Source organism: Homo sapiens, chromosome 15, assembly GCF_000001405.40.
Source record: "Homo sapiens chromosome 15, GRCh38.p14 Primary Assembly".
NCBI lineage: Eukaryota > Metazoa > Chordata > Mammalia > Primates > Hominidae > Homo > Homo sapiens.
This window is the reverse complement of record NC_000015.10, coordinates 67,688,892-67,706,510: the sequence shown is the minus strand read 5'-3', so window position 1 is coordinate 67,706,510 and position 17,619 is coordinate 67,688,892. Positions and strand designations below refer to the sequence as shown.

General features: G+C 37.9%; 1 protein-coding gene across 4 annotated transcripts in view, besides 2 other annotated features; it reads right to left on the bottom strand.

Annotated features, from left to right (window-relative positions):
• The window catches only part of MAP2K5 (mitogen-activated protein kinase kinase 5), a 264,412-nt gene that overhangs the window by 100,604 nt on the left and 146,189 nt on the right, over positions 1-17,619 (bottom strand). For 3 of the 4 annotated variants that reach the window (NM_145160.3, NM_002757.4, NM_001206804.2), the window contains exons 14-16: positions 13,959-14,032; positions 12,943-12,993; positions 3,103-3,174 (exon numbers count right to left, since the gene is read on the bottom strand). In NM_145160.3, coding sequence (NP_660143.1) covers positions 3,103-3,174; positions 12,943-12,993; positions 13,959-14,032 — 197 coding nt within the window. Of the gene's footprint in view, positions 1-3,102; positions 3,175-12,942; positions 12,994-13,958; positions 14,033-17,619 lie in introns of those variants that run through there. The other variant, XR_007064474.1, reaches the window with a different exon arrangement.
• Positions 14,495-15,054: an enhancer, noted in NCBI's record as "OCT4-NANOG hESC enhancer chr15:67983795-67984354 (GRCh37/hg19 assembly coordinates)". NCBI's record gives its function as "activates a minimal SCP1, AML or CMV promoter by ChIP-STARR-seq in naive H9 embryonic stem cells {active_cell/tissue: H9 hESC(naive)}" and the evidence as "EXISTENCE:reporter gene assay evidence [ECO:0000049][PMID:30033119]".
• Positions 16,915-17,084: an enhancer, noted in NCBI's record as "experimental_40692 CRE fragment used in MPRA reporter constructs". NCBI's record gives its function as "activates a minimal promoter by MPRAs in K562 erythroleukemia cells, with activity observed for both the introgressed and non-introgressed 15:67981850 variant alleles {active_cell/tissue: K562}" and the evidence as "EXISTENCE:reporter gene assay evidence [ECO:0000049][PMID:34662402]".

Here is a 17,619-nt window from a genome sequence, read left to right as displayed (position 1 = left end):
CAAAAGGCCTAGCTCTTCCTGGCCCTCACTCCTGACCATCTGGTTATCTGCTCTCTACCACACGAGCCAACACAGTCCTTACAGCATTCAGGTGTCCCACACTCAATGCTGACACTTTTTCACAGAGTTCTCTATACCTAATCCTCTTCGATCCTGAAAATTCAATGAGTCTGTTTTCTTCAGTCCTCCACAGAATATTCAATAGTTTATCTCCAGGATAAATGAATATCATCAACAGAACCCAAATATATCAATGGCAATCTCCTTCCTTACACTACAAAGAGTCTCTTTTTATTAATCTTTGTACCCCTAGCACCCAGCAAAATACTGGCAGACAGACACATATTTCAATATGCAACATAAATATATTTATTGAGCACCTGTCCTCCTACCTACTTAAACGGATCTCCCTGTTTCCACACCTGCCTGTCTATAGTCATGCTCCACAGAGCACTCAGTGATACTGTGAAAATTTAAGTCAGATCATTTCTTCTAAGAGTAATACCTAAAGTCCTTAGCATGGCCTACAAGGCTATATTTGCCCTGGCCCCTGGCTACCTCTCTAAATTTATTTTTTCCCACTTTTCCCCTTGTTAACTCCAGTCAAGTCACACTGGTCTCTCTCTTCCTTAAATACGCTGAGAGTGTACTCTATCTTGGTGCCTTTGAGCTTGTTATCAGGTGGCTTCCTTCTCTCACAGCATTCAAGTATCTGCTCAAGTGGTACTTTACCAGAGAGGACTAGTCTAGTCTGCTTTCTTTCTTTTTTTTTTTGAGATGGAGTTTCGCTCTTGTTACACAGGCTGGAGCACAATGGCACGATCTTGGCTCACCACAACCTCCGCCTCCTGGGTTCAAGTGATTCTCCTGCCTCAGCCTCCCGAGTAGCTGGGATTACAGGTGTACACCACCACACCCAGCTAATTGTTTGTATTTTTAGTTGAGACAGGGTTTCTCCATGTTGGTCAGGCTTGTCTCGAACTCCTGACTTCAGGTGATCTGCCCACCTCAGCCTCCCAAAGTGTTGGGATTATGGGCATGAGCCACTGAGCCCAGCCTAGTCTGCTTTTTTTTTCCTCCATGGGACTTATCCCCACCTGACAAATTACATATTTAGTTATCCCTTTGTTCTCTGTCCTTCCCCTCATGCCCCAGCCCTTGCCAAATGGAACTCCATGACAGCCAAGACTTGAGTGTCTTTTCCTTACTCTATCCCCATTGCCTATACAGCAGGCATAGCAGGAGTTCAACACATGAATGCATAAATGAATGTAGAAAGGATGAATAGTGAACATTTATATGTGCTCTAAATCTTAAATCTAATAGTTATGCTCTCTTATAGTAGTGCCATGCCTCTGCATTTTATGTCATTTTATCACTGTCTCAGTCACACAACTCTAGAGTTGCTGTGTGAAAGCTAAGGAAAGAAAACAACACCATGAGCAGTAGCACAGTCATAGAATGTTAGTCTGGAAAGGGGCTTAGAGATCAATATTTTACAAATGAAGAAACTGAGGCCCAGTGAAGAACAGTGGCTTCCACAGGGTCACCTAAAAAACTAGTAGCAAACCTGGAACTGTAATCCAGGTCTTCCATTCCCAATCTAGGATTCTTATCTCTACACCATGTAACTTCTCAATTGTCTTACACTATATCCAGTCATTTATAAAATAAATGATAACAATTTAAAATATGCAAAAGGAAATTGTATAACAGCAATACTGAGTCCCACAAATCAAAAACACTAGTTTCCCCTGAAACAGGCTAATAGAATAAGCCCTTGTGGATTCTGTTGGGAGACTCAGTTCTGAGATCTGACCACCATTATCGCTAACCTCTCAGCTGATGCATACATATTGTATTTCCTCTTAGATTCCCTTTTAAGAAGAAGCAGAAGAATATGATTTAATAAACGTTCAACACTTTATTTTTGCTTTCTTTCTACTGTGCAGGTGAATTGAGTTTGAAGATTATTTCCTTACAAATACAATTGCATTCATGCATTACAAAACTCACAGAAAAAGTATTTGACTAAAAAAAAAGGTTACAAAATCATGATTGCAACTCTATCTATGATATTATTTAAAGAGTCCTTTCTACTTTTCTATTATAAAAAGTCCTGGCCAGGCACAGTGGCTCCTGCCTACAATCCCAGCACTTTGGGAAGTCCAGGCAGGAGGACTGCTTGAGCCCAAGAGTTCAAGACCAGCCCAGGCAATATGGCAAGACCCTATCTCTATTAAGAAAAAATAAAGAAAATACAAGTCCTTCTTTATCTGAATCAATTTAAATGAGAATTTTTGAAGCACTGGTCAGTATACAGGTTCTATACTACCATAATTCAAACTGAGCCATATGTCCTTCTAATATAAGTTACATGCATTTTTTTGTAGATCAATCATCATTTTATTAAAAAAAACATAGCATAGAGTTCTAATGGAGCTACATCTAGAACACTAACATAAAGTCCATTCTAAATACAGCTATAAAGAGTTGATATTGCAATTGTGCTAAATACATACATCCTCTTCCCCCTTCCCTCTCCATCATATCACACCACCCCTTAACCCACATACACATGTGATAAGACTATACTGGAATGAGGTGATTTTTTTTTCTTTTAAAACAAACATATATAACTTATATATCTAAATGAGTAGTGCTGTATCTTTTAAACTAATCACCGTTGGAAGTTACATATGCATTCCAACAGGGCACAGAATTTTTCTGGAGTCCCTATTTTACATCACGGGTTCTCCAGATTTAGTATGTATAAGAATCACCCAGGGAACAGGTTAACAATGCAGATTCTTAGAGGTGTGGATTTAATTGGTCTTGAACGGGGTTGAAGAATCTGTATTTTTAACAAGCGCTCCAGGCAGGTCTTACACAGGTGATCTGTAATAAACAGTGCTTTAAAATAACCTCCAGAGTCAGTTCACAAGCCACACAAGGAATCAAAGACTTTATGGTCAAACTCTGTATACATCTATATAACATGCTGAAGGTTTATTTTAGCTTATTCTTTCAAAATCTTCACTTTTCCTGATTGAATATATTAGTACAGATATGCACAGAAGCGTCTATGTGCAAACAACGTACCTCCATAAAAGAGATTCCTAAGCTCCAGACATCAGAATGAATTCCATACTGCTCCCCTGAAATCCTTTCAGGCTGCAAGAAATCAGAAGGGAGCCTGTGAGTGGACGGATGCTACTCAGGAAAACACATACACCAAAATAAGCTCAGCTAAGGTGAGGAGCCACCAACATCTGCATAGTATTTTACGGATGACAAAACAATTTTACATGTGTGTATATATGTATTTGTGCATACAGTATATAGATGATCTATAGAAATTATATATAGATATATTCTTACTGAATCCTCACCAAGTCCCTGTGAGGAAGACTTTGGAAGTCATTTCACAGATGAAGAAAATGGAGGCTCAGAGTAGTGAGGTAATTTAGGCCAGGTCCTAAGTAGTGAATGAGCTGAGACTTGAACCCAGATCCTCTCCCTCCAAATCCAGTGGTCTTTGTTGTGGAGTAACAAATTACACAACATTATATGATATTATCACTTATTTGCATTTTGATAGATTGGTCTGGAACAGGAGGGTTTCTTTTAATTTTTTATTTGAAAATAATTTCAAACTTATAGGAAATTTGAAAAAATGAGATCAGAGCAATACACATTCCTATTTCCTTTACCCAGATTCATCTGCTGTTCAACATTTCATTCCATTGATCAGAGTTTCTTTGTATATGAACCAAGGAACAGTCTGAAAGGTCCATTTGGGACTCTTGGTCCTCCACTCAAGATGTATAGCAAATACCCGGTCTAAAAGAGGCTACATAAACACTCTCAACTTCAAAAGGAATAATTTCATACTGAGTGGATGCTTCCTGATCTATCTATCCCTCTAGGATTTAGCATTCAGTACAGTACTTCATAGATGGCTTTGGAATGAACACGTGAACAAATGAATAAGAGAAACGGAGGTCTCACAAAGGTGGAATGATTGCTAAAGGTTACAGGCTAATCATGGCAAGGCTGAGATCATAACTTACACCCCAATATCCAATTCAATAGATACCAGGATGTATTCATATGGAACTGGCTAGCCGGCTACAGGAATAACATTATTGTCACCATCATTACTATCATCAACAACACAATTATGTGTGCATTTATTAAAGAATTTCTATACACCAGGCCTTGTTTTAGTGTTTTTCATGCATATCTCATTTCAGATTCATAAACATCCATGTAATATTGGTACTATTTTATCATCACCATTTAACAGATGAGGAAAATGAGGCACAGAGTAGTTTACATTACTAACCATTATGAGTGCTGTATCCACTATAAAAGAAGGATAGTAATAGCTATCATTTAATGACCACTTACTAGTGTCAGACACTGGGCTAGGTACTTTGGGTCTTCTACTTCATAATGATTTTGCAAAAGTAGGTATTATTGCCCTCAGTTTACAAATGTAAAAACTGAGGCTTAGTAAGTGACTTGTTCAAAGTCTAGAGCTATGGGTTAGCATTAAATGCACTGTCCAGGAGCGGAGCCAGGATTCAAAGCCAGTTATGTCTGACTGCAAAATTAGAGTTCTTTCCAGTGAGTCAAACTGACCCCACAACTAGAAGTCAGAAGAGCCAAGCACAGCCTTGAGCTGGTCAGTATTTCTCAATGTGCAGTTTTTGGAGCAGCCATCGCAGAACTGCCTGAGGTGCTCACTGTTAATACAAATGAACCTCCAGAATAAGAATCTCTAGGGGTGGGGCTAGAGATCCTCACTTAAAAAATAATTTCTCTGGGTGATTCTTTGGTACACTTAGCTCCAGTCACTAAATATTTCCATGTTCCCTGGAGAGACAATGACCTTTTACATCTCCCTGCCTTCCTCTTCTCTGCTTAATGACCATGTCTCACACAGATCCTGTTTGAGGGTGAAACCTTTCTCTACTCCTACAGCAGAATTATAAATTCCTGCTTCTGTACTTCATTAAAATGCTGTTCATATCTTATTATTTATCACACTGTGTTGTAAAATCATCTGTTTTCTAGTCTATTTTTCCTAAGAGGCAAAGAGAGTACTAGGCAGACATACCTAATACCTTACCTGACACATAACAGGTATGCAGTCAATGCATGCTGACTGAAGGAATGTAATACATGTTTACTGCATGAACAAATAAGTTCCTTAGAGAGTTCTTATATAACTTCCTCATACATTGCTATTCATGTCTGTCAAGAACTTCTAACAAACATGAAAATCCTAAAATCCTCTAGAATTATTAAAGAAATAACTAAATGCTGCCCTAACCCCTGTCCTTTTTTCCTTCCTCTCTCCATTTCTTCATTCTACTGATTAACAGGTACCAAGTATTTCACCCAGAATACAGAAAAAACACGCACACACACAAAAGTGGAACCCACATACAAAATATTTGGGCAGGATCAAAAAGGAGGTTAAACACACTTATTACATTTGCCCACTGAAATATCAAAACAAATGCAAACTGTAAGCTGATAATAAAGCATAGAAAAATTAAATTAAATTTAAGAAGAAAAAATAGAAAAAGTGATAATGTTCACAGATACTAGATGGCAAATAAGAGAACTCTTTTAAGGGTCAGATTCTGATGACCTCTTGTTGGGGAAATTATTCTTGCAATAAGCTAATGAAACAAGATTACTGCTGTGATGCAGTGTTTGAGCAAAAATTTTCAGCAAAAGCCAACAGCAAGCTCCACGTGTCTATCCTAAACAACTCTTAAGGTGGATAGGGATTGGGAAATGTGCTCAGGCCCCTGGAAGTGATTTAGACACAAGATGAGCAGCAAAACATTCTGAATTTATGGAGCCAGGATTTGATGGCCCAAGGCTGCACAATTCAAAGCTGTTCTCACACTTGAAGCCAAGGTGGCCTGCCCTGTCCTCTCCCCTGAAAAACAAAACAAAACAAAACCAACTACCAGGTACCATGTTGTTGACAGAATATCTATGATGGATATTTAGCAGTTAAAAAGCTAAAACTGAGGTTACTCTCTCACATGACAGCTGTCATCAGTGTGAAAAGCTAAATAATAGGAAAAACATGACTCTTGTCTAAAACATCTTTGTAGTGAGGTTAAATGACAAGCAAACAAAATGAAACAAAAAACCCTGACCTGTTCTTAATAAGAACAGTAAAGAGTAGTGATGATCTAATAAGTAGAATTTATGGAAGATCTTAAAGGGCAGTCCTTCTGGCACCCACACTATACTCCCTCCAGATGCCCTCTGTGACTCAGCCTTGACAAGAATCCACATTTAGTTAACTAACTCCAGAACCGTCTGTTTACAACGATATTTGTCAAAAGCAGGAAGATACCAAGGTATATCCCTTATCTCTTCCAAAAAAGGAATTTCTGTTCAGACTCAGGCTACCTAGAAAATTAACAAAGTAGGCAAGAAAACTTCAGGCTAGTGTATAGTCAAAATATGTATCACAAGTGATGAGGATTTTTTTTTTTTTTTTTTACATTGGCAAGATCCCTGTGTAGGCAGACAGAACACTGGTTAAACAGGGCTCTGGAGTTAGACTGCTTGAATTCAGATCTGTCTTCCAGTTCACCAATTCTCTCTTCTGCTGTGTCCAATATGCTGTCAAATACAGTGAGTTTTAAATTTTAATCTAGAAGTTTTGTTTAGGACTTTAAAAATCTACTATGTCACTTAAAAAATGTGTGATCTTAAGTCTGTATGCATCTGATTCTGCTGCCTGCTGTTCCTGCTGATCTTGTTCAGGTGGCTTTGTTTTCTTGTGTGCCTGGTTCTCTTTGCTTGCTAGTTTTTCCCCTTGAAAGAAAAATTTTGGAGAGGTTCTCTGAGGCCTAAGGTGGAGACCACCTCAAACCACTTCTCAGCATGATGTGCCTTGTCCAACCTAGGACACGTATGCATATACCCAGGGTGTAAATCTATACTAGGGCTAGGCTATGGTCATAGTTTGTTCCACTTTTCCTATTTCTTCTGCTTCTCTGCTTAGTTCCAGATGCCTCCTCTTCAGTTTCCCGGGACTGGGGGAAGAGGAGCAGTTTTAGATCTAGTTTACTCTTACACTGAGGTTAGCCATTTAGGCTTCTAGCAGGGAACAGAAAATCTCCTCTGAGACCTTCTGACTTAGGTGGGCCCTGAAGCTTGGCTGCTGCCCCTCTTGCCTGACTGTGATTCAGGCAAATGCCCTCAGGAATAAGCAGTGATGGGGCTCCCATTCTACTTTCCTCTCTGTGGTAGGATTTCATTCAAAAATTGTCCTGGGAGTAGCCCACTGTCTTTTTAGCTCTTCGGTGCATTTGAGATGGTTTAAAAAAAAAAAAAAACTTAGCTAGCATATTTAAACAGAAGAGTTGATCTAAATAACTTAGTCTGCTATTAGCAGAAACTAGAAGCTGATGTCCTCATTAAATTGCCTTTTACTATGTGCCAACTCTGAGACCTTGGGTTAAAGATATTTTTACCTTTGGTTTCCTCATCTGTAAAATGAAGAGAGTAATAATAAATAATAGTAGTAATACGTATACCTCCTGGGGTTGTGTGAAGATTAAATGAATCCCGTAATGTGCTTCAGTACGTGCCACATGGGAATGCTCAGTTAATGTTAGCCTCCTTCCAGTCACCACCACTACCATTACTACCATCGCATGAGCATAGCCAATTGAGTTGGATCATGCAATGTGTATGTGTTTTATTCCGAGTAAAGACAATTACCAAGAACTGGAATAGCTTGGGCAGAAAAAAATGTTCTAGAGATAAGAATGGTTATTTAGATTGACTTTCTGATCCCAAGTATTTGAGTAAGATTTTTTCATTTTAAAACTTCAGTTAATCATAGCAATAGTGTCAATTTTTATATTTGATTTTTAAAATGATAGTAAGCCAGGAAGACTGAATAGTTGGTTAAAGTTTTAGGAACTTCTATCTTAAAAACATAATAAAATTTTTAGTAATTAGAATTTCTGGGCTGAGCGTGGTGGCTCACACCTGTAATCCCAGCACTTTGGGAGGCCAAGGAGGGTGGATCACTTGAGGCCAGGAGTTCGAGACCAGCATGGCCAACATGGCGCAACCCCCCATCTCTACTAAAAATACAAAAATTAGCCGGGCGTGGTGGTGCACGCCTGTAATCCCAGCTACTCTGGAGGCTGAGGCAGGAGAATCGCTTGAACCCAGGGGACAGAGGTTGCGGTGAGCTGCAATCGCCACTGCACTCCAGCCTGGGGGACAGGGTGAGACTTCATCTCAAGAAAAAAAAAATAAAGAATTTCTGAAAAATGGTTAATTTAATATAAGCTCCAAGTTTCCAGACCCCTTTTATAATTCTTATGGATAAAATCCTATCAAAATGTGGTTGAAAATCTTTCATGGTTTGGATGAAGGTATCTATTGAACCTATTAATTATCTGCCCCTAAAAAACAGTATTTCCTTGAGCATGACACTTCACTTTTCCAGGTCTCAGTCTCCTCACTGGTCAATGGGGAGGTTGGATCAAGATGACTTTTCAAGTCTCCTACAAGCACATTGCTGCTTAATGTGCCCATACTTGGTTTTTCTAAATGACTAATGATGTTACAAAAACCTCCCTGTCTTTTTCCTAATTATCTTTTCTATATTTTACGCTTTCGATTACAGATTAAGTGAGATTATTCACATATACAGGGCTATTTCATTCTGATATATTTTCTTTTTCATATTTGAGTAGCTTAGCTGGCTGTATTTGGGTAATTTTGGGCTGTCTATACCTTGAAACACAAGCAAGATTCTTAATACGAAAAGTTAAATGCTGTGCTTATAATTAGAGAACAAGACACTTTTGGAATGCAGCTTTCGTGAACTAATTCATTCATCTGGCACTGTGTGAGGTACTGGATATATAGAGTGAGCAGAATAAATCTTGCCACTGTGAAAGTCATAATCTAGATTGGGGGAGATGCATAAATAATATGGGTATAATGAGAGGCACAGCAATTAAGAATTTAGTCTCTGAAGGCAGATCACTTAATTTTGAGTTCTGATTGACACTTATGAGCTTTGTGAACTTGGGTAAGTCACTTAGCTTCTCTTGCTTCAGTTTCTTTATCTCTAAAATGAGAATAATAATATTACCTATGTCATAGTGTTGTGAGGATTTAAAAGTTAATATATGTAAGAAGAGTGATTGGCACATAAAGCTACCTAAGTGTAAGCTATTATTATTACTGATGTTATTATCACTATACAGAAGTATGCATGAATATAAAGTGAGGGAAATACATAAAATGAGGGTATCAAATGACTTCTAATTATGTATTCCTGCAATTTTTTATTTGTCCTCTTCCCCACTTCTTCACCCTCACCCATGCCTTCTATTTCTGAGTATTTGCTCATCCATTCACAGTGATCTTTCTCTTATGCAAGCATCCTTTTCACATACTGTTTGAATCATCAAGTTTGTACACTGTAAGTCTCATTTTCTTTTCTTTTTTCTTTTTGAGACTGAGTTTCACTCTTGTTGCCCAGGCTGGAGTGCAATGGTGCGATCTCAGCTCACCGCAACCTCCGCCTCCCGGGTTCAAGTGATTCTCCTGCCTCAGCCTCCTGAGTAGCTGGGATTACAGGCATGCACCACCACGCCCAGCTGATTTTTTGTATTTTTAGTAGAGATGGGGTTTCTCCATGTTGGTCAGCCTGGTCTCAAACTCCTGACCTCAGGTGATCTGCCTGCCTTGGCCTCCCAAAGTGCTGGGATTACAGGCATGAGCCACTGTGCCTGGCCTGTCTTATTTTCTAAATGTATGTTTGGTACAACTTAAGTCTTTATTATGTCACACATAATGCTGCTACATATAATGTCGTGTTCCCTGTTTCACCCAAGTCTTATCTACATTATAGAGTGGTTCCACTGTACCTAACAGCATAGAAGATGCTCAGTAAATGCTGGTTGATTATTGAAGGTGCTCAGTTTCAGATACAACTTTCACTGGCATAGATCAGGGGCTGGCAAACTTTTTCGGTAAAGGGTCAGCTAGTAAATATTTTTCATGTTATGAGCCATATACTTTCTGCTGCAAATGTCACAACTACTCAACTCTGCCACTGTAGTGCTAAAGGGGCCATGCATAATATATAAGCAAATGGGTGTGGTCATGTTCCAATAAAACTTTATTTACAAAAATAGGCAGTAAGAGCTTGGAAGAGTGATCAGTACATTGTTCCAGTAAATTGAATTTGGCCTGAGAACTGTAGTTCATGGATATTTGGCATAGGGCTCATGTAGAACTCAAAATTATAAAATATAACAGCTAAAATGAGAACTAGTTGTGGTTAAAAAAAAAAAAAAAAAAGCTCAGCTCTTTTCTCTCAAGAGACTGTCAGCAGATAAAAGTCAGGGATTCATACCTGTACTATAATAATATAGGTTATTTCCACCTCCCCCCACCCCCAACCTTACACCATGTAGGTGAGCACTTGGCCAATAAGAGCCTCCTACTGACCTGAGCAAAGCACTCACTCTCAAGCTATCATTGCTCCTTTTCTAGGTATCTTATGCTTTTTATAGCTTGAACTACAAAGCTGACGACTAGAATTCACTCACCTAAGAAGCAAAGCAATTTTAGTTTTGTCAATCCAAGCTAACATTTCATAATTTTAATCCTCACATTTTCAATTAACAGATGGATGCATCACATTCATCCATAAACAAAAATAAAAAACTAATTTCTTTAATGTACACCTGGGAAAGACAACTGTAATCTGGATTTGTACATTCAAATATAATGCAATTTAATTATCAGAGGAATTTAAAGCTACTAAGAACATGCTGGGTAGTTGAGCAATTGTTTCATTTATAGTCATGTCCCCCCAACTTTTAAAAAATTACAGTGTTTCATATTCTTTCAAAGACTTAAACCTTAGCATTCAGCAAGGCTATAAAGGTGGCTCACCAATCTCACCTAACTTGGTAGAGGAAGGAAGGTAATTACATTTTATAAAAACAGATATGAAGACTTCAGAGGTTAATTTATTATTTTTCCTATTATTATACAAGAAAGTATAAACTTTCTTTAAAAACCATGCAAGACAAAAATGAGCTATTCTGGTATCTGAATGAAAACAAAATGTTTTGTATTGTTCTGAGAAGAAGGTTTAGGTTTAGAATTAGGTTTAGAATAAGGTTCCATCCCTAAATCTTTTTTTTTTAAATTTATTATCATTATACTTTAAGTTTTAGGGTACATGTGCACAATGTACAGGTTAGTTGCATATGTATACATGTGCCATGCTGGTGCACTGCACCCACTAACTCGTCATCTAGCATTAGGTATATCTCCCAATGCCATCCCTCCCCCCTCCCCCCAACCCACAACAGTCCCCAGAGTGTGATGTTCCCATTCCTGTGTCCATGTGTTCTCATTGTTCAATTCCCACCTATGAGTGAGAATATGTGGTGTTTGGTTTTTTGTTCTTGCAATAGTTTACTGAGAATGATGATTTCCAATTTCATCCATGTCCCTACAAAGGACATGAACTCATCATTTTGTATGGCTGCATAGTATTCCATGGTGTATATGTGCCACATTTTTTTAATCCTGTCTATCATTGTTGGACATTTGGGTTGGTTCCAAGTCTTTGCTATTGTGAATAATGCCACAATAAACATACGTGTGCATGTGTCTTTATAGCAGCATGATTTATAATCCTTTGGGTATATACCTGGTAATGGGATGGCTGGGTCAAATGGTATTTCTAGTTGTAGATCCCTGAGGAATCGCCACACTGACTTCCACAATGGTTGAACTAGTTTACAGTCCCACCAACAGTGTAAAAGTGTTCCTATTTCTCTACATCCTCTCCAGCACCTGTTGTTTCCTGACTTTTTAATGATCGCCATTCTAACTGGTGTGAGATGGTATCTCATTGTGGTTTTGATTTGTATTTCTCTGGTGGCCAGTGATGATGAGCATTTTTTCATGTGTTTTTTCCATCCCTAAATCTTTAATCAAGATAATATATACAGAAAGAATACTGAGACTAAGACCCACGGTTTTATCCATACTAACATCATTTAATTTCATGACATATTAACAAAGGCTATTAGAGATGAAAGGGACTACCTAAATAAATTTAGAGCTTTCATTATAAAAAATTATCTTTGTTAGAGGAAGACAAAACTTTGCTCCAAAATTAATACTAGATAAGTTTCCTGTTTAATTTTTTTTCCCTTTGACTCTCAAGGTGATTATGAAAACCCATAAACTAAAGTATTTTTATGAAAACAAATAACTTCCCTTACTCAAAAGCCAAGTCTGCACTGGTCTTTGAAACAGCCTTATGATTCTACTTGTTATTGTTGGTAAGTTTATTTCAGTGCAACTAAATAATCTTACAATAGGCATGAATAACAACTAAACAAAATATAGAGGTACAAGTTCTATAGAAAACTGCCCCCTAAACCTTTACATTCAGAGATCCATAAATAAAATTTGGCTACACAGTAATTTAATTTTGATCTGGTGACAAAGCATGTTCATATTCCAAGAAAAAAAAAAAACAATTTTATTGACTGACATTTGGGGATACTTGAGGGTTAATTAAATAAGAAATGTGGAAAAGTGGCCAGTATGCTACAAGGTGAAATCTCTCTGTAGGATTAAACTTCGAAACTCAGCGATTTCACACTTGAACCAACCAGTTAAGTCAACAAAGTCAGATAAGTTGATAGCTCCTGTAAAAACTCTAATGTCTTTTAGAAAGATTTAAAAATCAGATCATGACTAGATTGACTTTGCAATTTATGATCTGCTAGGCTAAAGCTGTGGAATTAATTCAAGAATTATACATTACCAAGTACATAAAGATAAAGATGTTGGTTTTAAACATTATTTTTGCATAAGTTTACTTACCGCCATATAAGCATTTGTTCCAACATACGTCTTGGCTATAGAATTCACCAGCTATGAGACAAAACAGTCTGTTAGAACAATATAAAGATAATGTGGAAATAAAATGGGCAATTATTCCTCATTTAACCTACAATCATCATTCATATAAATCAACTAAAAATTATGTAAAAGGGAACAAATTTATCTACAAAGGCAATAAAAATGATTAAATCTCTCTTTTCTTTTGAATGTGATTTCCAGTTTAAACAAGCACAGCATTACAGTTTATAGCAGATAACCTTAAACAATTCACTTAAGCAGGATACTTATCGCTTTAGTATCCCAAACCCGCCTGATATAAAAAGTCAATTTAAAGCAGAATTTGAACACACTCAATTTTTAGTCAGATGGCTCAAGATGTGAATGAAGCCCCATGCATTACTAGAATGAAATGAACACTAAATACGCTGGAGGGATAACAGACTTTGACAACTCATAATACAACGATGACCTTCGCTTTGGTCTTCGTGTTTGGCTGGGAGTAAAGGTGGCTGCAATTCAAATCAACATCACAGCATGCTCATGGGTCACTATCACTGGGTTTCTCAGGGGAGGTCCAAAATGGAAATTAATTAAAATTTGTGCTGCACATTGTAATGGCCCTCCACCATTGTTGCTCCCAATATTAATTTTTATTGTGGGCCAGTTGGGCTCCCCAGGCACAGCTCCCACTCTGCCCTCCCTTTTGTCTGGCCAAAACGCTTTCATATCAAAGCTGCATATCAATGAAGTTTGCTATTCGTAAGTAGTAATTACAATATCAGCAGTTTTTACTGTCATTAAACAATGAACAATCATATTCTGATGAAGGAAACTCGCTCAGAGATTAAAAATGAATAACACACTCCCAGATGAGGAAAAGATGCAGAGTTTCTGTTTGTCTGGCAGCTAGGTGATTTTTCAATCCAGAGAACAGAATGAAAATATAAAGGGGTTGTTGCAGAGAAAACAGTACACTGGGAGGAAAAGAGACATACCTGAGTGCTAACTCCAAAATCACACAGCTTAACCTGTCCTCTTGTGTTTACTAGCATATTGGAGGGCTTCACGTCTAAAAAGGGACCAGAAAAGGCCATGTAACTAATTCCATGTATCTACAGCGTTTGTTCTTTAAAAGCACACATGCACACCACACCAAGTTGCAGAAATGACATCATCTGCTCAATCCGAAATTCAAATCACAAATTTAATGAAAAGCATTTTTTTTTAACCGAAGGTAAAATGTAAGGTCTTAACTCCTCCACGTTCAACGATTTCTGGTTTCTACAGAAGAAAGAGTTTATTTTAAGTGACAGTGAAATCAAACCTTGGCTTACAACAACAGTAAATACACCCATCATCCTATCCCTAGTTTTTCAGGAAAAGTAGGTAGATAAGAAAATGTAATCTTCTTGCAAAGAATTTGCACAAAAAGGATGAGTTTTGCTCTATATGTGTAATTATCAAGCTAGTCCTCCTATCTAAGTAATAGTAATGCCAAAGGGAGGCAACAAGGAAAAAGCATTCATATGCTACGGGTAACAGGTCATATTTGAATGAAACCGATGAGGAAATTAATGTAGTACTGCTATTTCACATGTTTTACAAGGCAAATGCTACTTCAGATAATACTTAGAAATTTATCTAAAAGATGTGTATATATGTGTACATGCATGTGCTTATTAGTCTTTGTTTCATTTATCCTTCTCTTCCCTTACATTATTTTTGGCTGCTGTTATAGTTAACAAAAGAATTGACATAGATTTCACCAAAGCAGTCAGTCGCTAAGTAATGACACAAAGGATTTCTGTGAAGCATCGTCAGTGACAACAATGAGCCTTTTCAGGAATTCAGGGAGCCCAAAAAAGCCACCCAAGGAGGACAAGAGCATACCACTTTTGATGGTATAGAGCAGCATCTGCTTCAATGCGTCTTTTATGGCAAAAGTGTAGTCCAGCAGAGACAACTGGTTATATTTAAAACAGCATATAATCTCAACTACACTGACACTGAACAGGAGACTCAATTTTTTGGTGTAACATTTTTTTAAAAACTGTAAATGGGTTAATCTTCTCCTGACCTTCCATCCGGCAAAAGGGTACCACAACAAAGTATCTTGCCAAGAGTAGATACTTAATTCAAATTTCAAGTTCACACACAGTAACTATTACTGAATCATACTTATGTGACAGGCAATGTGCTTGGCATTTTCTTATACATTAGCTCATTTAGCCTGCTAAATATTATCAGCCTCAGTTAGCCTGATAACTGACATTTGAATGTAAATTCCATGAAGGCAAGGACTTTGTCTCTTTTCTTGACTACTGTACTCCCAGCCCCTGAAAGAGTGCCAGATATATTTCAAGTGCTCGATAAACATTTGTTGAATGGATGAGTGAATAAAGAATGGAAACCACAAGTACACATTGTGGTTGATGATTCTGTTTCAGTGATGAGGGGTGAACTGTAGAGCCTGTCTCTGTAGCAAGCCCTTCAGATACCACACACTATAACCTCTATTGGGAGGCTCTATGAATTCAAGTTGGTATGCACAGGCAGGTGTAAGCTCTTTTTATCGGTATCATCGCCCCAAGAAATAAATAAGTTCACAGGGTAGGAGCATACTTAAAACATCTTTAAATGTATCCCTTCCAAGCACAGTATCTTGCTCACTGATTAATGGCTTTTTATATGATACATTAAATTTACTAATACATGGCCGGGAGCAGTGGCTCACGCATGTAATCCCAACACTTTGGGAGGCTGAGGCAGGCAGATCACTGGGGGTCAGGAGTTCAAGACCAGCCTGGCCAACATGGCAAAACCTCATCTCTACTAAAAATACAAAAATTAGCCGGGCGTGGTGGCGGACACCTGTAATCTCAGCTACTCGGGAGGCTGAGGGAGGAGAATTGCTTCAACCTGGGAAACAGAGGTTGCAGTGAGCTGAGATGGTGCCACTGCACTGTAGCCTGGGTATCAGAGCGAGACTTGTCTCAAAAAAAAAAAAAATTGCTAAGACAAATGTCCCCTTTACCAGCAAGTCCCTGGTCTCTTGGCGTCTAGTTTTCTCTAATTTTTCAACATAATTCTTATACCATCATCATATTAAACCTTAAATATACCACTTTCACTACATCACTTGTCTCCTTAAGGAGGAGGTTAAGTATTCTCTGACATGCCCCCCACCAACCAGAACATGAATTCCTTAAGAACAGGGTTGTGCTTTCAAGTGTGCCCCAGTAGTTAGCACAACACATCATAGCCACAGTAGACACTTAAATGTTTGCTGAACTGAAACAAATGTTAGATTCTACATAGTTTGGTCTTATTTTTCAAATCTAGTTCTTATCATGGGCCCTCAGTTTTAAATATTTTTCTTTTGGACAATTTGTTCTTTTACATATTGATGTCCTAAACTAGGGGTGTACAATCTTTTGGCTTCCCTGGGCCACATTGGAAGAAGAACTGTCTTGGACCACATATAAAATACACTAACAATAGCTGAAGAGATTTAAAAAAAATGGCACACACACAAAAATCCCATAATGTTTTAACAAAGTTTACAAATTTGCGCTGGGCTGCACTACTCAAAGCCGTCCTGTGGCTCATGTGGCCCGTGGAGCATGGGTTGGACAAGTTTGCCCTAAACCATTCTTAAGCTACCATATCAGATGGAGACAGTTAATGAACAAATATTTTGAACTCCTGGAAGAAGGTGCTGCCTGGAAATTAAGAGGTATGCTAAAAGCAGCAAATCTTTAGTTTCAATCAGATACATCTGACTTAAGTGGATCAATGGAAAGACAAAATAATAAAACAACAAAACTGCTAAACTATATTCCAAAAGACAAGGTGTAAATAAGAACCTGACTGCATTTTTCCAGCTTTCCAACATCTTTTTAACATATATGTAAGCCTACTGTATGACTTTTCCATATTCTCCCCTCAATCTGGTTTTCAGAAGTACTTTATGTGTGAAAGTAGTAGACATCCAGTCATCCTCAAATCAATCTTTGCATTCCAACAAGACTGTTTTAATCACTGTCTCAAAAGAAAAAAAAACCTCATCATTAAGGCTTTGTTCATTCTGTTTTCATTATCTCCTTCCCACCCCCAGGTTTAGAAACCTTTCCTCCATATTTTCCAACTATCTGAATCCTGCCCATCCTTAATCTCAGGCCATCAAAGTCACTATCTTCTTTGAATTTCTGTAGCATCTGTCTGTACCATTTGTTTGGGACAAAGCATATGATTTATGTATGTAACATATGGGACAAAGCATATGATTTATGTATGTAATGTATGTATGCATGTATGTATTTCAGAGACAGGGTCTTGCTATGTTGCCCAGGCTGACCTCAAACTTTTGGGCTCAAGTGATCCTTCTGCCTCAGCCTCCCGAGTCAAAGGGACTACAGATGTTTGCCACTGCACTCAGCTTTAACGACATTTTATACTAAGAGTTACTTAATGTTTTTGCTGTTATCAGTATCATCACCAAAAGAAATAAGTTCATAGGGTAGGAGTATACTTTATACATCTTTAAATGTATCCCTTCCGAGCACAGTATCTTGCTCACTGGTTGATAGCTTTTTAAATGATACATTAAATTTGCTAATATAAATGTCCCCTTTACCAGCAACCTTGAGACATAAT